General features: G+C 65.8%; 1 protein-coding gene across 8 annotated transcripts in view, besides 10 other annotated features; it reads right to left on the bottom strand.

The window, feature by feature from the left end:
- The window catches only part of AGRN (agrin), a 35,997-nt gene that overhangs the window by 6,608 nt on the left and 5,917 nt on the right, over nt 1-23,472 (bottom strand). For 5 of the 8 annotated variants that reach the window (NM_001305275.2, XM_005244749.4, XM_011541429.3 and 2 more), the window contains exons 3-25: nt 14,185-14,232; nt 8,629-8,844; nt 8,112-8,336; nt 7,807-8,031; nt 7,347-7,553; nt 6,052-6,270; nt 5,777-5,971; nt 5,486-5,686; nt 5,252-5,400; nt 5,070-5,175; nt 4,232-4,348; nt 3,986-4,150; nt 3,633-3,776; nt 3,421-3,545; nt 3,244-3,349; nt 2,774-3,112; nt 2,552-2,689; nt 2,055-2,182; nt 1,822-1,936; nt 1,614-1,733; nt 1,144-1,497; nt 450-642; nt 58-273 (exon numbers count right to left, since the gene is read on the bottom strand). In NM_001305275.2, the coding sequence (NP_001292204.1) occupies nt 58-273; nt 450-642; nt 1,144-1,497; nt 1,614-1,733; nt 1,822-1,936; nt 2,055-2,182; nt 2,552-2,689; nt 2,774-3,112; nt 3,244-3,349; nt 3,421-3,545; nt 3,633-3,776; nt 3,986-4,150; nt 4,232-4,348; nt 5,070-5,175; nt 5,252-5,400; nt 5,486-5,686; nt 5,777-5,971; nt 6,052-6,270; nt 7,347-7,553; nt 7,807-8,031; nt 8,112-8,336; nt 8,629-8,844; nt 14,185-14,232 (4,051 nt within the window). The other 3 variants (NM_001364727.2, XM_047419838.1, XM_047419837.1) reach the window with 3 other exon arrangements.
- Nucleotides 8,520-8,729: a silencer, noted in NCBI's record as "silent region_23". NCBI's record gives its function as "represses an Ori minimal core promoter by ATAC-STARR-seq in GM12878 lymphoblastoid cells {active_cell/tissue: GM12878}" and the evidence as "EXISTENCE:reporter gene assay evidence [ECO:0000049][PMID:35858748]".
- Nucleotides 9,285-9,963: an enhancer, noted in NCBI's record as "H3K27ac-H3K4me1 hESC enhancer chr1:974926-975604 (GRCh37/hg19 assembly coordinates)". NCBI's record gives its function as "activates a minimal SCP1, AML or CMV promoter by ChIP-STARR-seq in primed H9 embryonic stem cells {active_cell/tissue: H9 hESC(primed)}" and the evidence as "EXISTENCE:reporter gene assay evidence [ECO:0000049][PMID:30033119]".
- Nucleotides 15,387-15,536: a silencer, noted in NCBI's record as "silent region_22". NCBI's record gives its function as "represses an Ori minimal core promoter by ATAC-STARR-seq in GM12878 lymphoblastoid cells {active_cell/tissue: GM12878}" and the evidence as "EXISTENCE:reporter gene assay evidence [ECO:0000049][PMID:35858748]".
- Nucleotides 15,952-16,261: a silencer, noted in NCBI's record as "silent region_21". NCBI's record gives its function as "represses an Ori minimal core promoter by ATAC-STARR-seq in GM12878 lymphoblastoid cells {active_cell/tissue: GM12878}" and the evidence as "EXISTENCE:reporter gene assay evidence [ECO:0000049][PMID:35858748]".
- Nucleotides 15,952-17,044: a biological region, named in NCBI's record as "H3K27ac-H3K4me1 hESC enhancer GRCh37_chr1:967845-968714".
- Nucleotides 16,175-17,044: an enhancer, noted in NCBI's record as "H3K27ac-H3K4me1 hESC enhancer chr1:967845-968714 (GRCh37/hg19 assembly coordinates)". NCBI's record gives its function as "activates a minimal SCP1, AML or CMV promoter by ChIP-STARR-seq in naive H9 embryonic stem cells {active_cell/tissue: H9 hESC(naive)}" and the evidence as "EXISTENCE:reporter gene assay evidence [ECO:0000049][PMID:30033119]".
- Nucleotides 16,181-16,301: a silencer, noted in NCBI's record as "fragment chr1:968588-968708 (GRCh37/hg19 assembly coordinates)". NCBI's record gives its function as "represses an EF-1alpha promoter that drives an FKBP-Casp9 reporter gene in an ReSE screen in K562 erythroleukemia cells {active_cell/tissue: K562}" and the evidence as "EXISTENCE:reporter gene assay evidence [ECO:0000049][PMID:32094911]".
- Nucleotides 16,282-16,421: a silencer, noted in NCBI's record as "silent region_20". NCBI's record gives its function as "represses an Ori minimal core promoter by ATAC-STARR-seq in GM12878 lymphoblastoid cells {active_cell/tissue: GM12878}" and the evidence as "EXISTENCE:reporter gene assay evidence [ECO:0000049][PMID:35858748]".
- Nucleotides 16,482-16,661: a silencer, noted in NCBI's record as "silent region_19". NCBI's record gives its function as "represses an Ori minimal core promoter by ATAC-STARR-seq in GM12878 lymphoblastoid cells {active_cell/tissue: GM12878}" and the evidence as "EXISTENCE:reporter gene assay evidence [ECO:0000049][PMID:35858748]".
- Nucleotides 18,785-19,654: an enhancer, noted in NCBI's record as "H3K4me1 hESC enhancer chr1:965235-966104 (GRCh37/hg19 assembly coordinates)". NCBI's record gives its function as "activates a minimal SCP1, AML or CMV promoter by ChIP-STARR-seq in naive H9 embryonic stem cells {active_cell/tissue: H9 hESC(naive)}" and the evidence as "EXISTENCE:reporter gene assay evidence [ECO:0000049][PMID:30033119]".

The raw sequence follows: 23,472 nt of genomic DNA, 5'->3' as shown, positions 1-23,472 counted from the left end.
TACACCGGGACCCCAAAGGGCCGGGGTCGGGGCCACACCACCCTCCAAGGGACTCACACGGCAGCCTGGTCCTCGGGTACGCCGCCCACAAAGAGGTCTGTGTCCAGGTTGAGGCCGTCGGTGCCACTGGGACTCTCGCCCAGAACAGGGGTCTCACCATCCACCGAGAGGGTGCCCCGGCGCCAGTGCCGGGACAGCTCCAGGCGGTGCCACTGGCCCGGCTCTACCGGCACGGCACTGGTCAGCACCGCCGGCCCCGAACCTGTGTCAAACCTGAGGGCAGGAGCAGGTGCTCAGGACCATCGCCCGGCCCCGTCCCCACCCCGCCTACCTGAGCTGCCCCGCCCCCGTCCCCACCCCACCCACCTGAGCTGCCCCGGCCCCCCCTCCCCCGCCCGTCCCCTCCCCGCCCACCTGAGCTGCCCCGGCCCCGTCCCCTCCCCGCCCACCTGAGCTGCACGCGGCCATCTAGCAGCGCCAATGCCAGGAAGTCCTTGCCCCGGGCGTTGCCATTGTACAGCAGCAGCCCCTGAGGCTCCAGCGCCCGGAATTCCAGTGCCAGGCGCAGCGTGTGGTAGGCGCGGAGAGTGGGGAAGGCCAGGAAGGAGCGGCCCTCGAAGGCCGGCACAGGGGCGCCAAGCACTGCAAAGGGCGACCGGGAGGGCCGGCTGGAAAAGCTCCGAGGATTCCCCACTTTTATCCCTGAAACCGCCCCCTGCTTTTTTTTTTTTTTTTTTTTTTGAGACGGAGTTTTGCTCTTTTTGCCCCGGCTGGAGTGCAGTGGCGCGATCCTGGCTCACCGCAACCTCCGCCTGCCAGGTTCAAGCGATTCTCCTGCCTCAGCCTCACGAGGTGGGATTACAGGCGCCCACCACCACGCCCGGCTAATTTTGTATTTTTAGTAGAGACAGAGTGTCTCCATGTTGGTCAGGCTGGTCTCGAACTCCCGACCTCAGGTGATCCGCCTGCCTCGGCCTCCCAAAGTGCTGGGATTACAGGCGTGAGCCACCGCATCTGGCCGAAACCCCGCCTTAATCCGGGCTCCTGCCCCCAACTCAAAGCCTGATGGTGGCTTAGCCCCACCCCCAATCCTTGCCCCCACCCTGCTGCCTCCCCGCCCTCCTCTGCAGTGGACATCCTTACCCTTCTCACAGACGGCGCCTCCCCTGCCTGCCGGGCAGCTGCAGGTGAAGCCCCCGCCCAATGCCCAGTCCTGGCAGGTCCCCCCGTGGAAGCAGGGCTGTGAGTCACAGGGCTTTGGAGGCTGCTGGGGGGCCGGGGGCCGACGTCCGGGCACACGGCTGGGGGCAGTGGTGGGGGGCCGACGTGTGGTGGGGGCTGCCGTGGTCTTGGCAACGGGCTGGCTTGTGTGACTGGGGTGCGGGGCCCGAGGGGTCACAGCAGAGGACGGCAGGCGCGATGCAGTGGTGGCTCTGGCCGTGGCTCCCGCAGCAATGGCTCCTGACGTGGCCCCCGTGATAAACGCAGGAAACCAGTCTGCCGGCACAGGGAGCTGTTAGGGTTTCCTGGGAGCAGGGCCAGGAAGGGGTGAGGGGCAGGGGCATGGGCAGAGGAGGGGGCAGGTAAGCTGTGGCTCGTGGCCTGGCGCTCACCAAAGTCCATAAATCGCACGTGCTCCTGCAGCGGCCGCCTCACCCCCAAGGACCGGCGCCTGGACACCTGGATCTGCCGGAGCAGGGCCCGGGCCACGTCGGGTGCCCTGAAGGCTGTGGCTGGGGAGGAGGGAGCTCTGAGCATGGCAGAGCCCCAGGCATCCCCCACCCATTGCCTCCCAGGAAGGGTCCAGGGTGCAGGTCTCACTGGGGTCAAAGTGCACATCCACAATGGCGCGGACGGATTTGCCGGGCCCCAGGTCCCGCAAGCGGACACTCCGAAAATCCTTCTTGACGTCTGAATTCCGGAAGAGGTCGTCCAGCTGTGGCAGGGAGTAGGCAAGGACTTGGGGGGCCGCCCAAGCCGGGCTGCCCTGGTGCTGCTCTGGGTATCTGGGGAGGAAGGCCAGTGGGTAGGTGGGGGCTGCGCCCCCGTCTTACGGTGCTCTCAATGCTCCTGGCTGTCTCCCCGAACAGTTCTGACTTGGGGTCAGCCATCTCGGGCGTGTAGAACAGCTCCTGGCCCTCGACGCCCTCCAGCTCCAGGACGCCCTGGAACACCTTGGTGGCTGTGGGGGAGGTACAGTGAGGCCCTGCCTGGCATCTGCCTGGCATCCAGGCTGGCCCAGGCACAGGCCCCAGCAGCAAGCCACAAGGGTGCAAGGGAAGGTGGATGTTAGTCAGATGGTCATGAGGTTAGTGGGGACCCCAGGGTGGGGCTGGTGTCGGTTACCAGGAGGACTCCTCAGAGCAGTGTGCCACACCGGCTTGCAACGAGAGAGACGGGTTAGGCGTGGGGTCCCCGGCACGCACATGTTTGAGGGGGCCGAGTCCCAAGACCATAACCCCCGGCACTGACCTGCTGCCCAGGCGAGGGGGCAGCACCTCGGCCGAGCCCAGGCTATCCTCACACTCCCCTCGCCCAGCCGTCCACTCACCGGGGCAGTTGGAGCCCTCTGCGTCCAGCGAGGGCGTCTTCCCATCAGAGCAGCAGCCCAACGCGGAGTTGTAGCAGGAAGCCCTCTCGACAGGTGGCCCAGGGGTGGCCACGCTGCTGCCCTCCAAGGGCTCGAGCCCTGGGGAGACGCGCTCTGAGCCCAGGCTCTGGTGGAGCCTCTCGGCGCCTGCCCACCCACCCCAAGTCCTTGATCCCTGCTCACCCCCAGAGCCACCCCCACTGGCCTCCTGGTCCCCGCTCAGTTCCTCATCGCTGCTTCCATCAGTGCTGCCAGATTCACCAAAGGCGGACGCCACCAGGCTGGGTGCAGGGGAGGGTGCCGTGGGGGGCACCGTCAGCACGGGCCACACGGTGGTCCTGGGGACGCTGGCAGTGGTCCGAGGTCGTGATGAGGGCGGAGGGGTGGTCTGGCTGTGTGCGGTACTGCTGGGAGCCAGGGGGAGGGCGCCGGGGGGGGCCGGCAGTGCCTGGCTCAGGAGGAGCCCTGGGGTGGTCACAGTCACGGAGGCAGATGTCGGGTGAGTGCTGGGAGCAACAGCCTCTGCAAGGAGAGGGAGGTTGGCGGGGGGACCGGTTGGGACAGGGTCAGGTGGCTCAGGGCGGGTGGGGCTGGATTTAGGGCAGCGTCAGGCCTTCCTGGTCAGTTCTGGGGCAGTGGCCGTCAGGCCTCACCCTGGCACGGGCCCAGGCTCTGGATAGAGATTTGCAGGCCCTGGCGGCAGGCGATGGTCTTCAGCTGACACTCGTTGCCGTATGTGACTCCATCTGACCCACAGACCTGGGGCAGAGAACAAGGATGTTCAAGGCGAGGCCTCCTCCCCACTCCCCTTCACATCCCACACCCCTCACCTTGGTAGCGTTGGCCTCTGGACAGGTGAGCATCGGGCAGACACAGTGGGCTGAGCCAGACTCCTCCACGCACCGCGCACCGAACTCACAGCGCATCTCCGCACAGGTCGCAGGCGCAGAAGCGTCTGGGGCACGGGCATGGGAAACCTCTGTGGCTCGGGTGACCCCACCCCACCCCATGAAGCCCCAGGGTAGCGCTGGCCCTCACTCACCAGCTTCACAGCCCGCGGGGCCCAGGGCACGGCCGTCTGGACACTGCCCACACTTGGGTCCAGCCACCCCGGGCTTACACGAGCACAGCCCCGTCATCTGCTCACAGTCATCCCGCACGGCGCCTTGGGGATCACAGCTGCAGGCTTTGGGGAAAATCGGGGAGGAACGTGATGTCCGCACCTGGACGGGCTTCCCCACCTCCTCCAGAGCCTGGTCCCCAACCCTGGCTCTGCCCAGCCCCCAGCCAGGTGTGGGTCAGGCCAGGGCCTGGGCAGGTGAGGAGAAGCACAGTGATGGGGGTGAACAGGTAGGAGGGCATAGCCGGTGGCCAGTCCTGGGCCCTGTCACTCACGTGTACAGCCACTCCGGCCATCGGTGACGATGCCTCGAAAGTTCCAGAAGCCAGGCTCACAGCGGTCACACCTGAGGCCCCCCACACCTGGGCGGCAGGAGCACTGGCCTGTGGCTGGGTCACAGGTGCCGCCGTAAGAGCCATGGGGGTTGCACTGGCAGGCACCTGAAAGGCCAGGGCAGGACAAGGTCACGTGGCCGCACAGCCGCACCAGGCCCGGGGTCGGGGCTGAGCTCAGGTACTCACTGGGGCAGCCAGCCAGGCCCACGCCCCGGGCTGCGGTGATATTGTCCTGGCAGCAGCCGTAGGGCGTCTGGGCACAGTGTAAGGGGGCCACAGGCGGCAGCGGGGCGAAGGTGGGGCCTGCAGGAAAGGGTACGGGACTCAGATTTCATGCAGTGCTGGACACCCACCCTGGACCCAGCCAGTCTGCCTCCACCTACCCCCACTGTCACCACTCAGCCGTCCCGATCCCAGCTCCCAGAGGAGCCCGGGAGCCTGGGGCTGAGGACACAGGTGAGGCTCCCACATCTTACGCAAGAACATGTCTGTAAATGCAGATCCAGGAACACACAACACACAGAGCATCCAAAGATCACGGACACGCAGCTCTGTGCACACACACACGCGAGCTTCCTTGCAAATCGAGAAACAGACATCTGAAGACGTCAGCATGCGTTCTCACCCACATTCCTCCAAACCGTACAGTTAACGCCCCTCTGCAGACACACATCTGTGCACGCGCATCACACACACCGGGCACCACTTTTACCTAATTGATGTGATACATCGACCGGATGGACGTATGCAGAGAAAGTGCCCACACGGTGGGGCCCCGCATGGTTCACGCTGCCTCTCAGCACTGAGGCCTGGCCTGGTGCACGCCCACTGACTGATGGACACACACGCCCACACACGCAGCTGCACAAATGTGCACAGGCACCAACACTGGACGATGCTCACTTACAACACAATACACACGTCCACAGGGGCCCAACGCAGCACACGGGCACGCCCACATCCAGACACGGAAACCCAGACGCCGCCCCGCCTGTGCCTGAGACCCCACGTGCAGCCGGCTCACCTCGGCAGGCTCCCTGGGCCGCTACGTAGAGCCCTCGCTGTGACTCACACCTGGCCTTCTTCAGCTCACACTCGGTGCTGTAGGTGACCCCATCTGAGCCGCACACCTGGAGGGTGGTGTCAGTGTGAGCGGCCGCAGCCCCGTCCCCGCCGCCCGCCGAGAGCCAGGGGTACAGAGCTCACCGGGCTGCCTGGGACACTCTGGCAGCTGAAGTCACAGACACACGGCCCGTCCTCCGAGTCCTCGTCCCAGATGCCACCGCGCTGCCGGCACAGCTCCTGCTCACAGTCACCGTCCTCCCCAGAGCCAGAGCCTCCGGAACCGCACTCGGCTGCGGGGAAGGGGAGCAGAGTCACCCAGGGGCTTCTTGTCCAAAGCCAGAGCCCAGCAGTTTTCGCCAGCGTCCCCCGGCCTACCCTGCTCGCACGGCCCTGCCCGGGCCTCCTCGATCTGTGTCTGCTGGAGGCAGGCGGCTTCCCGTAGCTCGCAGGCACTGCCGTAGGTGACACCGTCGCTGCCACACACGGGGCCGGGCGGGGGGTGCTCACACCGGGGACACACACACTGCCCTGCGGAGCACACAGCCCCAAAAGCACACACGGCATCTCCACAGGTCTCTGCAGGAGACAGAGCCAGGCAGGGGTCGGCAGGCCCAGGCTGAGGGAGGCACAGGACCCTGGCCCGCCCGGCCCCAGGGCCTCACTCACCACAGGGTCCAGCTGAGGCCACGTGCAGGCTGATCTGGTGTGTGCAGGCGTGCACGTGCAGCATGCACTCGCTGGGGTACGTGTGCCCGTCGGAGCCACACACGGGCTGGGCCAAAGCCACGCATTCAGAGGGGCACACGCAGCGCCCGGTCTCGGCCTCGCACAGGGCTCCAAAGCGGCACTGCCCGCAGCGGTCTGGGGAGGAGCTTCCATCACCAGGCGACCAGGAACCTCTCTCTCCCCGACCCCCACCAGACCCCTCACCCGCCACTGACCACAGGGTCCTTTGCGCGCCACCTGGATCTCCCGCCCGAGGGTACAGGCCGTGGCCTCCAGCTCGCACGCGCTGCCGTATGTGACGCCGTCGCTGCCGCACACAGGATCGTAGAGGCTCGAGCACGCCTGCAGGCATTCACACGCTGCCTGCCCGTTCTTCACAGCACACGTCGCCCCAAATGCACACTGCACCCCGAGGCATGGGGACGGGGCCTGGTCTGGGAAGGACACAGGGGCTCAGTGGTCCCACAAGCCCCCCCTCCGCTGCAGGCAAAGCCCCCAGCCCCACGCAGCAGTCCCTCTTCCAGGGAGGGGATGGTGGAGGAAGAGAGAACACAGGAGAAGGGCCAGATGCACAGCAGACACGGCAGAGAAAGGGACAGACACGCGGCAGAGGCGAGCGGAACACACACCCAGGAGTCCCCGGTGGCTGCGGGCGAGGCTGCCCCCAAGCTTGGGGCTTCCTGATTGTCCACAGCAGGCTATGGGAGGGCCAGGCTTCCCCAGCCTGCCCAGGCCACTGACCCCTGACCACCAGCATCCCCAGGACACCCATGCATGTGGGGGGGCTCTCTGTGGGTGGGAGGAGCCTGCACCCCCAGAGTCACACCCAGGGCTGCACGGGGGAGGAGGTGTCTGTCCACTTGCTCTGAGGACCACAAGGCCAGGCAGCAGCAAGCCACCCCCCCTGCCGCACCAGGGGCAGACCTCGGGCTGCGGGCTCCTGGAGGGCAGGCACGGCACCTCATCCTGCCAGCAGGTCAGGCTGGAAGACACAAGAGGCGGAGCCGACAGGGAAGAAGAGACCAAAGAGAAGAGACAGACGCAGAGAGAAAGACCAGAAGATGGGCGAACTGACCAAGACGAACACGACGGGACACGACGGCCACTGCCTCCCCCTGGCCCTTCAAGTCCTGACACTGCCTCCAAAACGGCCGACGGCTGCCCATGTCCCAAGAGTGAGGACCCTGGTGTTGTGTCCAGCCTGCCCACCCCAACAGCCTGTGCTTACAGCGTGGAGACATGCGGACAGGCCAGAGGACTCCCAGGGAGGGCGTGGCTGAGGTCAGGGACCAGGGAGCCTGGACAAGGCCCCGCCTCTGCCTCACCAGCCCCCAGGTATCCAGGTACCCTCCGCACACAGGCTCCACCCTCCCCAGAGCCTTCCCAGAGGGACCGGCCCACTCCCAGGACCCCAAGAGGAACATGATGGATGAAGATGGCATGTGATGTCCAGGCAGGGACTGACGCAGGAGCAGCCCACCCCGCCTGGCCTCCACCCCGGGGCGCTCACCACACGGGCCCTGGTGCTTGCTGGGGATGGCACGCTGCTGCCGGCACTCAGCCTGCTGCCGCCAGCAATCACTGTCATACGTGCGCCCGTCCTGGGCACACACGGGCCTGTAGGCCCCGTCACAGGTGACGCGGTCGCAGGAGCAGCGGGGACGGCCACGGCGGGACAGGCACACGGCATTGAACCGGCAGGGCTCCGGGCACTGGTCTAGGACGCAGGGGTGAGGGAGTCACGGAGAGGCTGGAGCACCCTCCATCCCTGCCCTGGGATGTGCAGGGAGCAGGGGAGCAGGCGGCCCTCCCAGAGGGGAGCCGCCCACCTCGACCCTGGCACTGGCCGCAGCCCTCCCCCGGGGGAGCCGCCCACCTCGACCCTGGCACTGGCCGGAGCCCTCCCCCGGGGGAGCCGCCCACCTCGACCCTGGCACTGGCCGGAGCCCTCCCCCGGGGGAGCCGCTCACCTCGACCCTGGCACTGGCCGGAGCGCACTTTCTGCAGGAGGAGACCCCGGGCGGCCCCCGATCGGCCCATGACACAGTCGTTTTCGTAGGTGACTCCGTCGTCCCCACACACTGGCGCCTGCCGGGCAGGGCAGCTCTCGGGCCGTAGGAGCATCTCAGGGCGCCGCGTGCGCGGGTTCACACGGCAGCTGCGGCTCGGGTCAGGGAGGGCGCCCTGACAGGGGTCTGGGGGTCGAGGGCAGGAGTCAGGACGCTGTCGCCGCGCGCCCACAGAGCTCGAGCCGTGCGCCCGCCGCCGCGCTCACCACAAGGGCCGTCGAACTTCTTGAAGACATTCTCCTGGCGGGCGCAGGCGCGGCGCAGGAGCTGGCACTCGCCGGGGTAGTCGGCGCCGTCGCTGCCGCAGACGGTCCCCTCGGGGGCGCCACGGCAGGTCGCGGGGCACAGGCACGAGGCCGTCAGCCCGTCGGCCGAGCGCGCACAGGTGCTGCCGAAGCTGCAGGTCACGTTGGAGCAGGGGTCCCGCGAGCCTGCGGGCGGGGCTTTGCCGGTCAGACGGGCCGCCCCCGCCCCCGCTCCCGCCCCGCTCCCGCCCCGCTCCGCCCCCCAGGCCCCTCCCAGCCCCGCTCCTCCCCGCCGGGCCCCGCAGGCCCCGCCCCCGCTCCCGCCCCGCTCCGCCCCCCAGGCCCCTCCCAGCCCCGCTCCTCCCCGCCGGGCCCCGCCCCTGCCCCCGCCCCACTGGCCCCGAAGCCCCTCCCAGCCTCGCTCCATCTCATAGGCCCCGCCCCTCCCCGCCCCAGGCACCGGCCCCGCCCCGCTCACCGCACGGCCCGCGGCTGAGCAGGCGGATGCGGCGCTGCTGGCTGCACTGCGCCCGCTGCAGCTCGCATTCGTTGCTGTAGGTGGAGGCGTCCGACCCACACACAGGCGCCACCACGCTGGGGCACGGGCTCTTCTTGCAGACGCAGGACGCCCGGCCCGGCCCCTCCGCGTTGGGCTCGCACACGGCGCCGAAGCCGCACAGCATTCCCCGGCACGCTGGGGCGGGTAGGGGAGAAAGCTCAGGGTGCCGAGACGCCCGTACCCACGTCCACAAGCCTGAGAGACCTTGCCGTGCTCGCAGCCCGCGCATTCACCCGCCCCCGCGCCGCATCGGGGGTCCACCACGGACACGGACACGCGTGCGTGCGCTCACAGGACCGGCCCTGCCCCTCGCAGACCCCGCCCGCCGAGGATTCCCGCCAGCCCCGGGCCTCTCCAGGGATGACCTTTCTCCCCCACCCCGCACCTGCAGGCGCGGAGAGGGGCGTCTGCCGCAGGCGGCACCCGACTCTGTTTCTGCGACGGGCGAGCACCCACTTCCCACCCACCTCGTGGGCCTCCAGCGAAAAGCAGAGACGCCTCGAAACCAACTCGGGCACAAGCAGTCCAGGCCCCAGTTCTGCTCAGGAGCTCCTTCCACATCGGCACCGGAGCCCCTCACCGATTCACCCCATGGAGCCGGGGGAGCCCCTTCCCGCGCTGCTGCAGCGTCCAGCACAGCTGAGCCCTGCCGCCTCCCGCCCGGGTCGCACCCAGGTCCCGCGTCTGGCCCTCAGGGGCCTGAGAGCCCCACCGGGACGGGGTGTGAGGCCAGGTCACAGCTCTGGCCCACCTCTGGCGCCTCCCTGACCGCTCCCTGCGCCTAAGATGGGTGGGGAATCTTCTTGCCTCCCTCTCCCCAACTCTTCCCCAGCTTCCCTGGAGAAGTGCAAATTCCTGGCCTCCGCCTCTACTATCTCCTATTCTCCCTGGCCAGCCCCCCACCCGCGGCAGGCCTGTGCCCTTCTGCAGCCTCCCATCGCTCCCTGGGATCCCTGGGGCACCCACACGCCCCCTCCTCCCTGGGCATCCCCCGGCCCCCCACCTCACTCTTGCCTCCTCCATCGCCCTCACTCTCTGTCAAAGCGAACTTCCTTCTTGGAGAGGTGCAGGAACTGTTGCTCATTTTAGTTCTTACAGCTGCAGACCACAGCGCCTGACACACGTCCCATCACCAGACCTCAACGTGGCCAACAAAGCTGCCTCAGGCACGTTAAAACCCAGAGCCCCTGCGGCAGCCCATCCTGAGCACCCCCACCCCCAGCATGGCCCACCCAGGATCAGGGAAGGGTCCGTTAGCGGCTGCAGCTGTCTGGATTTAATAAATGTTTAATTGGGTCCAATTATCATTAATAAGTCATGTCAGAGGGGTGGCTACCACCCATCACTTCCCAGCAGGCTCGTGAAATGGGGCAGGAGGAACCCCCCCCATCTCCAAGGAGGGTGGGTGCACTGGGAGCTGGAGCCAGCTGTTGCTATAGCAACAGCCCACCCCAGGCTCTGGCGCTGTCTGTCTGGGTGTCCCTGCCCCCACCCCAGAAGGCTGAGTGAGGGCCATCCGCCTGCCATCCCTGCAACCTACCCATGCTCCCCCCACCAGATCCCTGTCTTCCTCCCCAAACCTTGGCTGTGCCCCCACCCCTCTTCTGCTACTCTCCCACCTCAGGTCTTACAGCCAGGCTGCTCAGCTCTGCATTACCCACTGTGAGAATGTGGGCAGGTTATCACCTGCCTGGGCCTCAGTATCCCCTTCGGTGAATAGGAGCAATAGGACCTACCTCCCAGGATTGTGGGGTTAAATGGGCCAGTATCTGCAAAGCTTAGAGGGTGCCCAGCACACAGCGCTATGTGGCCCGTCTGCTGCCACTGTAAGTATAGTCATGAGGGCTGTCATCACCACTGGCCTTCCCCCGTCCTGGCTCAAATCAAACTCAAACCACATGCACCCCTGGCCCTTTCACTTCCCTTCTGGTTCCCCTTCTCTCTCCCCTCAGCATCTCCCTCTCCCTTTGGCCCTGCCTTGTCCAAGGCCCTGGGACTCCCAGTCCAAATCCAACGGGCACCTGCTGATGCCCAGCCAGCTGTTCTCCTGGGCTTCGGCTGGACCTGTGGACCAATGGTTCCCCCCAGGTCCCAACCCCATGGCCAAGGACCCAGTCACCTCCCTGCACCAGGGCTCCTGAGCCTTTCTCCCCTTTTGGTCACCTTGGCTCAGCCAGACCTCTCCCAAGGCCCTGACACCATGGCCAAGGGCACTGTTCCTGGATGGCGGGCATGCTCCTCATCCACCAGGACCCGCAGCTCCCTCCATAGTCCAGCCCGAGGTCCTGCTACGTCCCAAGACAGAGCCTTGGGGAAGAAGGTGATGATGGCAGCTCACCAGGGTGAGCGGGGCTGGACTGCTTGCAGGGGCATGGAGAGCAAGCTCTGGGATGGGAGCCTAGAGGTACCTTAGGGACAGGCTCTGAGTGACCAGCTGCTGGACCAATGTGGCAGGGCAGTGGAGAGACCTTGGGTACCTGGCGGGACCTTGAAGCCAGGCTGAGCACTGGCTCCCCATCCCCATCTGGTGTGCAGGGCCAGGTCCTGGCCCCTTCCCCTCTGCCTCCAGGGCCTCAGAGAGTCCGCTCCTCTTGGAATGTGGCCCCAGCTGTGGAGTGGGGGTGGATCTCCCTCACAGCATTTGATGGTGTGACACTGCCGGCCAGCCCAGGGTTTAAAGGTCACAGTGCTGGTCCCTCCCTCCTATCCCCATCCAGGCTGGAAACACATCTGCCCCTCAAGAGTGAGCTCAGGAATCACGGCCTCCGGGAAGCCCCACCCCCCCATTCTCCGCTCACACTGCGGGCTTAGGTGAGGGGCCGCTCCCACCACTGTGCTGAGTCTCCACAGGCCTAGGGGATCATAGAGGCTCCACACGAGATCACCTGAAGACAGGTGCACGTGGTGATGGCACACACGCACGTACCCGCCAGGCACAGCGCATTGCAGCAGCCACGCCCCGAGATGTCTCCCCTGCCAGCTGGCAGGAGGAAGGTAGGCCACCTGACAAGGCCACACTGCTAGAAATGCCAGCACTGGGCTCAGACACATCTGTGCTCCGGTCACCTGCCCACATGGCCCCTCATAGATGCAGGTGACACACCTAGGACCCTGAGAGCCCTGTGTTCCCGATGGGTCATTTTTGGGGGTCCTGCCACGCCTGTCTTAGCTCCACCTCCTGCAGGAGCCCCTCCCCGGCCACTCGGCCTCCCCACCCACTCTCCCGCAGCGTGACGGGTCCTCCCACTGTGTGCAACGCTGGAGGCGGCAGTGCTTTTTATAGGAGCGGGTATATTTAACTCCCTTCCTGGTCCTGGGTAGGCTGGGGGATGGAGAGGATGCCCCAGCCCTGCTGTGAGCTCTGGCCCGTAACTATGACCACAGTTAGGTGGCATGTGGGTCACGATGGCCTTGGTGTGGAGCCCTCCGTGACTCTGTGGCAGGGTGGGCTGTGGCCAGGTGAAGGGGGCAGTGTGTAAAGAAAAGGAGACACTCCCCAGCCTTCTGGGTGTCAGGAAACGAGGCTGAGGATGCTAAGAGAGGGGACCTCCCACCTGAGCACCTCTTTAAATCCAGTTGGCTCCAGGCCTCTGGCTCACAGGTGGTGGAAACGCAGTTCTTGCCCTGGCCCTGCCCGGCCCCAGCCACCAGCATAGACCTGCATAGACCTGTCTCCTCCCCAGGACCCAGCCCACTGGGAGGGTTCAGGCCCCTTCCTGCAAGACTCGGGTCCTTCTCTGAGTCCATACCCTCCTGCCCCCAGTCCTGGGGCTGCCAGGAGGGAGAGGGTCTTCCAGGACAAGCCAGCTGCTCACCTACCTGCTCTCCCAGCCTGTTGCAGGCCCCTGCAACCCGTGTCCCCTCAAATGCCTCAGGTCACAAACCACCCATGGTGCTGTGCTGCCCTGACCCACAGGGCTCCTGAGTCTCAGGAAGGGGGACAGCAACCCCACCGGCATGAGGCCCCTCAGAGGCCTCAATCACCTTGGCCACGCAGACCGGTCTCCTCTCCCCACAGTCCAAGAGAAGCCTGGTGCTCTGAGGAGCCTTTGGGATCTCATAGGAACAGCCTGGTGGGGTTGGGGGGCGGGTGTTGGAGGGCCATCAGGGGCTGGGGGCCAACAGACAGGTTGCAGGGCTAGAGCCCAGGGGTAGGACGGGTTCCCACAGCCACCATTCCCCATTCCCGCTGCCCAGCTCCTCACCCCAGGCCCAGCGCTGCCCCAGGCCAGAGTCCCTGGGACCAGGAGTTGAGTAGCCAAGTGTGGGAGAACCACTGCCCACTTGCTGGTGTGCGGCTTCAGGAGCAAAGCACAGCTGACTACAGGTCACCCCAGCCTGGCAGGCGGTCGAGGAAGCAGAGGGCCTCCATCTCACACCCCTGAATCCAGCTCCGGTTCCCAGGTGCCTAAACTCCACACTCCGAGGGAAGACCCCACCCTATCTTTCAGACCACTGAGCATCCCAAGCTGCCCCCACCTCTCAGCACAGGCGGGCATCACAGGGCCCCCTGCCAAGGCCTGGCCACCTCCTCCAGCCATCATCCCCCACTCCCAAGACCTGGAAAGTGGCCGAGACGATCTATCCAGCCCAGGGCTCTGTCTTCAGATCACTTCAGGATTCCCCAGGTCGTCCTTCCCACCCCATGTGCTGGTCAGGAAGGCCTCAGCACAGCCCTCACAGACAGCCCTGCACACACAACTGAACGCAAGTGAGACCCAGTGATGGGGCAGGTGCTCCTTCCCCACCTGCTGGAAAGGACCCCAGGCCTGGCGAGGGAGCCACCGGTCCCCCCGTCTGTGTTCCTCTGCAAAGCTGACCACTTCCTCTCTTCCCCTCACACCCTCACACCACCCCGATGACAGTGGCCCAAACACCAGGAGCACCCCGGGGAGGACAGGCCCCACCTCACAAAGCAGGTCAACAAGGTCAGCCCGCCCCCTCCATCACTTGTGTCCCCCCATGACAGCCTGCAGAGTCCCAGGGACAGACTGCCGCCCTCCAGGCCCCTCCCCAGACAGCTGTCACTGATCAGGTCAGGGCCCTCCCCCAGCTCAGCCTTCCCTGCAAGCTCCTGTCCACTTCCAGCCTCTGTCCAGCCCCACCCCTTGCTGAACAGGGAGAAGGGAGGACAATAGAGCGGAGCCCCCTGACCGGACTCTGGCCCTGCCCTACAGGTCTGACATCACCTCACAACCTGTGGGTCCCAGGACTTGTTCCCAGTTTTGAGGCTGAGGGGGCTGAGGCCCAGAGAAGTGAGAGCCGAGGTCCAGTGCCGTCAGGCGGCGGCCTCTAGACCCCGAGTTCCTACTGCGGCCCACCGCTGCGGACTCCCAGGACAGACGCAGGTGCCCTTGTCCAGCCTCCTCCTCACTCCAGACACACTCCACACGTCTGGGTGCACACCTCCAAATGGCCCCTGACTCCCAAGAGTGCCACAGCCCATCCAGGTCCCCCGAACTCAGCCCTACTCACCATCAGGAGGCGTCGGAGGCACTGGAGTGAAGTGGGTCCCGGGTTTATCTGGAAGAAAACAAATCCCCAAGTTAGGCTCCTCTGAGCAGGCTCCTCCCTGTCCCATCCCTTTGCCCAGCCTGGAAAGGGGCACCCCTGCCCACCCCCCCCCCCCCACCGCTAGCCCCAGGGATCCAGGCTGCTGAAGGGTCCAGCCCTGACCCCATGGGCTGGCTGAGGTCTGAGACAGAGGCCCCTGCTTTTCTCTGCCCCTCCAGCCAAATAGTCATGGCCTGACCCCTGTCAGATGGGGCCCCAGCCACAGGGGTGCAGGCAGGACCCCCTTCCCTGGAAGAGTCCACCGCAGGTCCTGCCCTACCCCCAACTGCCGGCTCTCAGTGTAGCCGGCTGCCCCTCCCTCCCCAGCTCCCGCAGAAAGTGTTTCTGCAGCTTTGGGTGAGGGCCAGGCCCACTGAGAGCCCAAGGACGGCCTCCAGGGACCGAGGGGTCCGCAGAGTGACCCATCCCATCCCCGGGAAGCTGCCGGGAGCCCCGCGGACCCGCCGCGGCCTCCAGCCTCTATGTGCAGGGGCCTCGGGGTTGGGGCTTGGCCAGTGCGACGCCCCGCCCGCGGCCACCTACAGTTGTTGAGGAACAGCAGCACCGCGAAGCCGAGCGTGGCGGTGGCCAGCAGGATCAGGCAGGCGTTGCAGGGCACCATGAAGCCTCGCACCAGCAGGGAGGCGCCAGGCGGCTGCCGGGTGTCCCGCGCCAGCGGCAGCGGAGGCATGGCCCGGGGCTCCGGCTCTGCGCCCCACTCTCAGAGCGTGGGGGCTCCTCACGGGGTGCCCTTGGGCCTCTTCAGGGCTGCTCGCCCCATCCTGGGACCCCTGGGGCGGCGGACAGCAGCTGTGCCCTCAGAGTTCACCCAGTCACAGCCCTGGGGGTGCCAGGTCCCGGCTCCAGTCCTCCAGGCTCATCGTGGGAGGAGGGCAGAATTCTCCCGGAGTAGAAATCCCAAATGTGGGCTCCGAGGTAGGCGGAGGAGGGACTGGGAGCCCGCAGCCACCCCTGCTGCCCACAGCCTCCCCGGGCTGGCCGCCAGCGCTCGGTCTTCCCGGAGCCCCCGGAGCCGCGCAGGCCGGAGAGGCGGTGCGCGCGGCAGGTGCGCGGGGGCCGGGCGCCGAGGGTCTGCTGTCCCCGTCCCCGGCAGAGGCGGAAGCGGCGATAGGAGCGGGCAGGCAGGAGGGGCGGCCGCGTCGGGAGCGAGAAGAAAGCGCCGCCTGCGGAGGCCGCGCCGGGTCCCGGGCTCCCTCCAGCTCCCCTCGTCCCCGCGGGGCTGGGGAGGTGAGTGAGGGGCGAAGACGCCGCGGAGGGAGGGCGGGAGCAGAGACAAAGGAAGCCGCCTCCAGGGACCCCGGCGTCCGCGGGGAGTTCCAGAGGATCGGGCGGATGCGGACGGGAGAGCGCCGCACAAAAGGGAACGCCGGGCAGGCGGGGCCGGGGGTGCTCGGCTGGGGCTGGGGCTGGGGCTGGGCCCGGGGCCGGGAGCGCTGGGGCTGGGGCTGGGCCGGGACTGGGGCTGGGGTGGCTGAGGCTGGGGCCGAGGGTGGGCCTGAAGGTGTTGGGACTGGGGGTGGGACTGGGGCTGGGCCTGGGGGCGCTGAGGCTGAAGCTGGGGCCGGGGGTGGGACTGGGGGCGCTGGGGCTGGGCCGGGGGTGGGACTGAGGCTGCGGGCGTTCAACTGGGATTGAGTCGAGGGCAGCGGTGGGGCTGGGCCGGGGGAGCAGGGGTCGCGCCGGGCAGCGTCGCGTGCTGGAGCGGAGGCGGGTGCGGCCGGGGCAGGTCGCGGGAGGAGGAAGCGCCTGGGGAGCAGGAGCTGGGCCGGGCGGGTCCGCGCCCCGCACCCGCGGGGGTGAATCGGAGTCGCCGCAGGGGGCTCGGGGGGCCGCGTGCGACCGCGTGTGCGCGTCGTCGTGCGTGTGCCCGCGAGTGTCTGCGCCCGCGGCCCCGCCCTGGCGGGGCGTAGGTGGGGGAGGGCCCCAGGTGCGGCGCGAGCTGGAGGGTGGAGTGAGGTGAGCGGCCCAGAAATCGCCTCGCCCACTTTCCCCTGGGGATTGACAGTGGCTCCTCCAGTCGCCGGCGCCCCCGACTCCCGCGCGGGGCGGGGTCATGCAAATGAGCCCCATGCAAATTGCGGCGGGGACTCCCTGCGGGTCCGTGGGGCTGGAACGCCCCCAAGAGGCCGTTCCGGGAACGTCCGGGCCCTGACGTCACTGCGGCCCGGGGCGGGGAATGGGGGTCTGGGCCCATCTGGGACTCCTGACGCGTAGTCCGGCGTCCCCACACCCGCCCCCGTAGGTCGCCCCTCTCCCTGGCCGCTGCCCAGCCGGGGGATCCGGGGGTAAGGGAGGGGCCCGTCCGGTCCGGTGTGTGCACCATCCCCTAGAGTCCATGCCAGGCCCGACCACCCTGGAGGCCAGAATCTCTCGGCGACCGCACCTCAGCGCCCCCGCACACCCCTGGCCACCCGCAGCCTTTGGAAGGGACCCCTGCGCACCCATTACCCTGCCCTCTCCTCTGTCCCTGCAATGACCGACCCCATTCCCCAAGCCCCAGCTCCAGGAAAGCAAGGACCCGGCGCCAGGGCGCTTCTGCTCCGCCAGTCCCCTCCAGCACCGCGGACCAAGCCATCTGCCACACTCGGTCTCACCCACTCTGCAGACGACAGCTGCCGGCAGCCACCAGTGCCACCGCGTGGTCACACCCAGGCCTCACCTCAGTCCACCCCAGAGGACCCACTGCCCACACCTGCTGCCTTCCTGGAGTCCCCCAGCCGGGTGTCTGGGCCCCTCAACCCCATGGCCTCCATCTGGACTCTCCCCAACGCCTCCTTCCTTCCAGGTGCCCTGTCTCACCTCCTGGTCAGGCTCCTCCAAGGGCCCCAGCCAAATCCCACCAACCCCACCTTAGCTGGGAAGGTCCTGTCTTGCCAGCTCCCTCTCTTGGGACTCCTTTCCACCCCACAGCCAGGGACCAGCACCATGCCCCATCACCCAGACAGGAGGCCTCCACATCTCTACGGCCCTGGAACCTGGTGTTCCAATGAAACCCTGCAGGAAAATCCAAACTCAGCCAAGGGTTCTCACCCACCCCAAGCCACGTCCCATCCAGAGCAGCTGTCAAAGGAAGCACTTGGAGACCCACCCCTGCTGGCCTCACTCTCTCCTCAGGGGAGCTCCTACCCCAACCACCCCACCCTGCTGGACCTTGGCACTGTCCACACCAGGCTGACAGTGTTCCGGCGGTGCTGACTGTGGGTGCCCCGGGCAGGGTCTGACTTTTTATCTCCCCAGCGCAGGGTGTGACCCAGGGATGAGAAAACCCAGAACAGGACTTGCTGTGTGCAGAGGCAGGTGGTTCACATGCATTCCCCATTTCTCACCTCCCAGCTCTGAGTCCCAGGGGCAGTGCCAGGGTCAAACCCAGGCCGTGCTACCAGGTCACGCGCCAGCCCGCCTGCTGCCACCACCTTCAGCCATGGGATCTCTGGGCGGGCTCTGCAGGAGGAGGACAGGTACCACAATGTGGGAGGGGTGGGGGAGCCCCAGGTACGGGCTGGCAGAGGGGGCCTCAAACACTGCCTGGGAAGTTTGCCCCCACACAGAGAGACCCTGGGATCTGCCAGCAAAGGGGGCCCAACAAGCTGAAAGTCACGTGGGGGGCCTGGCTGCCCCAGGCCGACACTGGAATGAGGCTTAGGGCCCCTTGGGCTGGGCCAGGGGAAGGGGAACCAGGCAGGCAGCCTGGCCCCACCCAGCCCCAGTCAGTGTCTGAGCCCCCCACAGAGGCCCAGATGCCTTCAGAAAGACAAAGGGCCATTGAGGCCCCAGGCCCAGCCAGGGAGGGAGCTCAGGCGACATGAGCTATTTTGGGATCTTCAGACAAAATCATTCAGCCCTGACCAGCCCACGCAGGCTCATGTGCAGGAAAGAGTACTAGCCCCCTGGTCCCTGATCTCACACTCACAGCACCATGCACCGCACACACATACACACACATGCTGATCTCACACTCAGCACCATGCACTGCACACACACAGACATGCTGATACACTCACAGCACCATGCACTGCACACACACATGCTGATCTCACACTCAGCACCATGCACTGCACACACACAATCTCACACAGCACCATGCACTGCACACACACACATCTCACACAGCACCATGCACCGCACACACACACACACAATCACACTCACAGCACCATGCACTGCACACACACACATGCTGATACACTCACAGCACCATGCACTGCACACACACATGCTGATCTCACACTCAGCACCATGCACTGCACACACACACACATGCTGATCTCACACAGCACCATGCACTGCACACACACACACGCTGATCTCACAGCACCATGCACTGCACACACACACATGCTGATCTCACACAGCACCATGCACTGCACACACACACACGCTGATCTCACAGCACCATGCACTGCACACACACATGCTGATCTCACAGCACCATGCACTGCACACACACACACACACACATGCTGATCTCACAGCACCATGCGCTGCACACACACACACACACATGCTGATCTCACACAGCACCATGCACTGCACACACACACACTGATCTCACAGCACCATGCACTGCACACACACACATGCTGATCTCACACTCAGCACCATGCACTGCACACACACACACGCTGATCTCACAGCACCATGCACTGCACACACACATGCTGATCTCTCAGCACCATGCGCTGCACACACACACGCTGATCTCACACAGCACCATGCGCTGCACACACACGCTGATCTCACAGCACCATGCACTGCACACACACACATGCTGATCTCACACAGCACCATGCACTGCACACACACACACGCTGATCTCACAGCACCATGCACTGCACACACACACACACATGCTGATCTCACACAGCACCATGCGCTGCACACACACACGCTGATCTCACAGCACCATGCACTGCACACACACACATGCTGATCTCACACAGCACCATGCACTGCACACACACACACGCTGATCTCACAGCACCATGCACTGCACACACACACGCGCTGATCTCACAGCACCATGCACTGCACACACACATGCTGATCTCACAGCACCATGCACTGCACACACACACACACACATGCTGATCTCACAGCACCATGCACTGCACACACACACACACATGCTGATCTCACAGCACCAGGCACTGCACACACACACACATGCTGATCTCACACAGCACCATGCACTGCACACACACATGCTGATCTCACAGCACCATGCACTGCACACACACACACACATGCTGATCTCACACAGCACCATGCGCTGCACACACACACACATGCTGATCTCACACAGCACCATGCACTGCACACACACACACACTGATCTCACAGCACCATGCACTGCACACACACATGCTGATCTCACAGCACCATGCACTGCACACACACACACGCTGATCTCACACAGCACCATGCACTGCATACACACACACGATCTCACACTCACAGCACCATGCACTGCACACACACACGCTGATCTCACAGCACCATGCACTGCACACACACATGATCTCACAGCACCATGCACTGCACACACACACACACATGCTGATCTCACAGCACCATGCACTGCACACACACACACACATGCTGATCTCACAGCACCATGCACTGCACACACACACACGGCCACACAATGGGTATTCCTGGCCTGCCCAGCACCACCCCTGCTCCTTGACCCCCACTCTGCCCCATTCAGCCCCACTGCTGACCCCAGCCCCAGCCTCAATTCTCTCCCTCCACCTGCCCTCATAGACACGGGATGTCCCCCTCCCCCTACCTGCCTGCATAGACACTGATGTCCCCCCCACCTGCCTGCATAGACACTGATCCCCCCACCTGCCTGCATAGATATTGGGCATCCCCCATATCTTTGTGCAACATTAATTTTGTCCCTCAACCCCCACCCATACACTGGGAAGGCACGTTCTCCTCACCTCCCACCCATATGTTCCCGTGTGGACACAGGCACACTCTGGTTGGGCACCCGCAGGTACTTATCCTGCCCTCAGAAGGTGGGGGTTGGGGCCTGGAGTGGGTGGAGCACTGGGGCTCTCTGGCAATTGGCAGGCCCCAGAGGGGCTGGGGCTCGGTTCCTTCGGAAAGGGTGGCGTGGCTGTGGGCGCCCTTGGCCCACGAGGGGCTGGGGCTCGGTTCCTTGGGAGAGGGTGGCGTGGGTGTGGGCGCCCTTGGCCCACGAGGGGCTGGGGCTCGGTTCCTTGGGAGAGGGTGGCGTGGCTGTGGGCGCCCTTGGCCCACGAGGGGCTGGGGCTCGGTTCCTTCGGAAAGGGTGGCGTGGGTGTGGGCGCCCTTGGCCCACGAGGGGCTGGGGCTCGGTTCCTTCGGAAAGGGTGGCGTGGCTGTGGGCGCCCTTGGCCCACGAGGGGCTGGGGCTCGGTTCCTTCGGAAAGGGTGGCGTGGGTGTGGGCGCCCTTGGCCCACGAGGGGCTGGGGCTCGGTTCCTTCGGAGAGGGTGGCGTGGGTGTGGGCGCCCTTGGCCCACGAGGGGCTGGGGCTCGGTTCCTTGGGAGAGGGTGGCGTGGCTGTGGGCGCCCTTGGCCCACGAGGGGCTGGGGCTCGGTTCCTTGGGAGAGGGTGGCGTGGCTGTGGGCGCCCTTGGCCCACGAGGGGCTGGGGCTCGGTTCCTTCGGAAAGGGTGGCGTGGCTGTGGGTGCCCTTGGCCCATGAGGGGCTGGGGCTCGGTTCCTTCGGAAAGGGTGGCGTGGGTGTGGGCGCCCTTGGCCCATGCACCGCACACAGGCTCGAATGCAGACGCTGACTTCCGGTCCACCCAAACGCTCGGTGCCCCCAACCCCAACCAAGGAAAACAGCTGGCGTGGAGTGGTCAGTGCCCACAGGTGCCGCCAGCCAGGTGCAGGGCGGGGGGGGGGGGGGGGCGTTTCCCCACGGGAGAGAGAACGGCCAGCAGGGGAGACGGCAGCTCCGAGGCAGGAATCAGCTTGCTCCCAGCTGTGGGGTCACGGCAGCTGACGACTGCGCCCCAGCCCTCTCTTCCGCCCCGTGTCCACAGCCTCTTTCTCCCACGGTTCTCTGCACGGGCTTTCACCCCTCAATGCACAGCTCCTTCCCGGCTTCCCTGGGAAGCCCCGTGGAGGTGCCAACCGTGAGTGTGTGAATGGGGAAGGCACTGATGATGAAATCAGTGAAGGTCATGGTGAGCCCTGCTCACACCCCAGCCTCCCCTGGGGAGAGAAGGGGGCACAGCCCCTCCCCACCAGCTGCTGTGGGCCGGGGCGGCCGTGGGCCGGTGTTTGTGCTTGTGCTTCTCCAGCGGGGGGTGCGTGGGAGCCTCCCACCTGCGGACACGCAGGGGCTTGCTTCTCCTAGGGCCCAGTGTGAGGGTGGCCAAGGTGGCTGCCAAACGGCGGGGCAGGGAGGCTCAGGCCAGCGACAGACCCCCGCTCCCACCCTGACCAGGCCTGGTCTGACTCCCAGACTGCCCTGCTGCCCCCAGACAGAGTCCCATCTGGGCAGGGGTGGGCATCTGTGTCAGTCTCGAGGTCCCGCAGGCATGTGAGGGACTGTGACCCAGGACCCTCTCCTGTCCTCACTGCCGCCCCAAGGGACCCAGCATGCCTTCATCTCAAACCTTCAGAAACCACACTGGTCATCTCAGAGGCAGCACCTGCAGAAGGTCCTGGGCCCTTTGCCAGACACGGGGCAGCGTGCTGGACGCAGTGAGCAGGGGGCAGGAGAGTGGACAACCAACAGCAAGCTGAGGCGAGACACGTGCACGAGGACAGAGGAAGAGCCCAGCTCCGAGGCCCCCTGGACAGGCCAGGGTCACCCACCACCAGCCTCACACCTGCAGCACCAGCCCGGGCTGAACCCAGGGACATAGGGTGGTAAGAACCATGGCCCACTAGTGGAGGCTCCAGGCAGAATTCTGAAGTGCACAGGCTGGTACATCTGAGGCTGCAGGCACGTGCACACACATGCGTGTACACACACACACAAACACATGCACACACGCAGGCCACACAGCTGGAAACAGCCGGCTGCCTGTAGGACACAGCACGCCCCTTCTCCCACGCCTCTGCTCCGTGGGGGGACTGCAGGAGGAGGGGGCTGGGAGGGGCCGTCTCCCTTTCCCAGGTCCTGCTGTGAGCTGCCCCTGGCAGGGGGCCTTCCTCAGAGGAAGTTCCCAGGATCTGTGCTGGGGGGAGAGGCCCCTTCGGGGGGGCTTCCCTCAGTGCTGCAGGCTCCGCTAGAGACCTGCCTCATTCCCTAGATCCCAGCCACAATCTTGCCACAGCCTGAGGGGCGCACAGGACTGCTCTGAGCCCCAGTGCAGCTCCCAGCAGCTCACCCAGCAGGCAGGAGGTGCAGGGGTACAGAGCCTCCTCCTCCAGCGGGCGACTGTCCATGGGGTGATATCTCAGCCCTGCACTTCCTTTTTCTCATCTCTGAGGGGCAGGCACCTCCTGGGACCCCGGGGTTCCATCCTGAGGTGGGCAGGCCACCACGGTGTTTCCGTCTGCAGCCCCAGCCCCGCTGGGCTTCGGGGGCCCTGGGGAGCCCAGTCCAAGTGGGGAGGGGGTGCCAGAACCAGGACTGCAGGGAGGGGGTCCGTTCCTGCCCCACCCAGGCCGCTGGTGGGGCTGTGGACCTGGGTCCCACAGGTGGAAGCAAAGCCCTGGGCGTGGGGCGTCTGCTTCTGCAGTTGTTTTCCACCCTCCTGCAGTGATGGGGGCAGAGTCAGCCCTTCAGGAAGGAAGCTGCATGGGCCTGGCTGGAATGACCTCTGGCCGGACCTGTGGCCCCGAGGCACGGGCACCCCCTTCCCTGGAGCAGCCCCATCCCGCCTTCTGCAGGCTGTGGGGCTAATGATTCCCTCTCCTGATCTTGCAGGGACAGGAACCTGTCCTCACCCTAACCTCCTTCTCCCCTACCTTGGCCTGGAGGCTGCAGCAGGTGCCATCCCCACCACCACCCACAGAGGCCCCACCAGAGCGGCCAGTGTGGACAAGCGGGAGCGAGCCCAGTTCCAAAACAACCTTCCCTCTCTAGTCTGCAGGAACAATGGAGCCAGGGCTGTTCTCTGGGTGGGGAGTGAGGGAGTGGGGTGGGGTCTGGAAAAAGCCAAGAGTTCCTTCCACCAGCTCAGCCCGGCCCTCTCAAAGAGGTCATCTCCACAGAACTGACCAACCCGATTCCCCT

Source organism: Homo sapiens, chromosome 1 (assembly GCF_000001405.40).
Source record: "Homo sapiens chromosome 1, GRCh38.p14 Primary Assembly".
In the NCBI taxonomy this organism is placed as follows: Eukaryota; Metazoa; Chordata; class Mammalia; order Primates; family Hominidae; genus Homo; species Homo sapiens.
The sequence above is the reverse complement of the archived record's forward strand: the minus strand, read 5'-3'. Positions and strand labels throughout refer to the sequence as shown.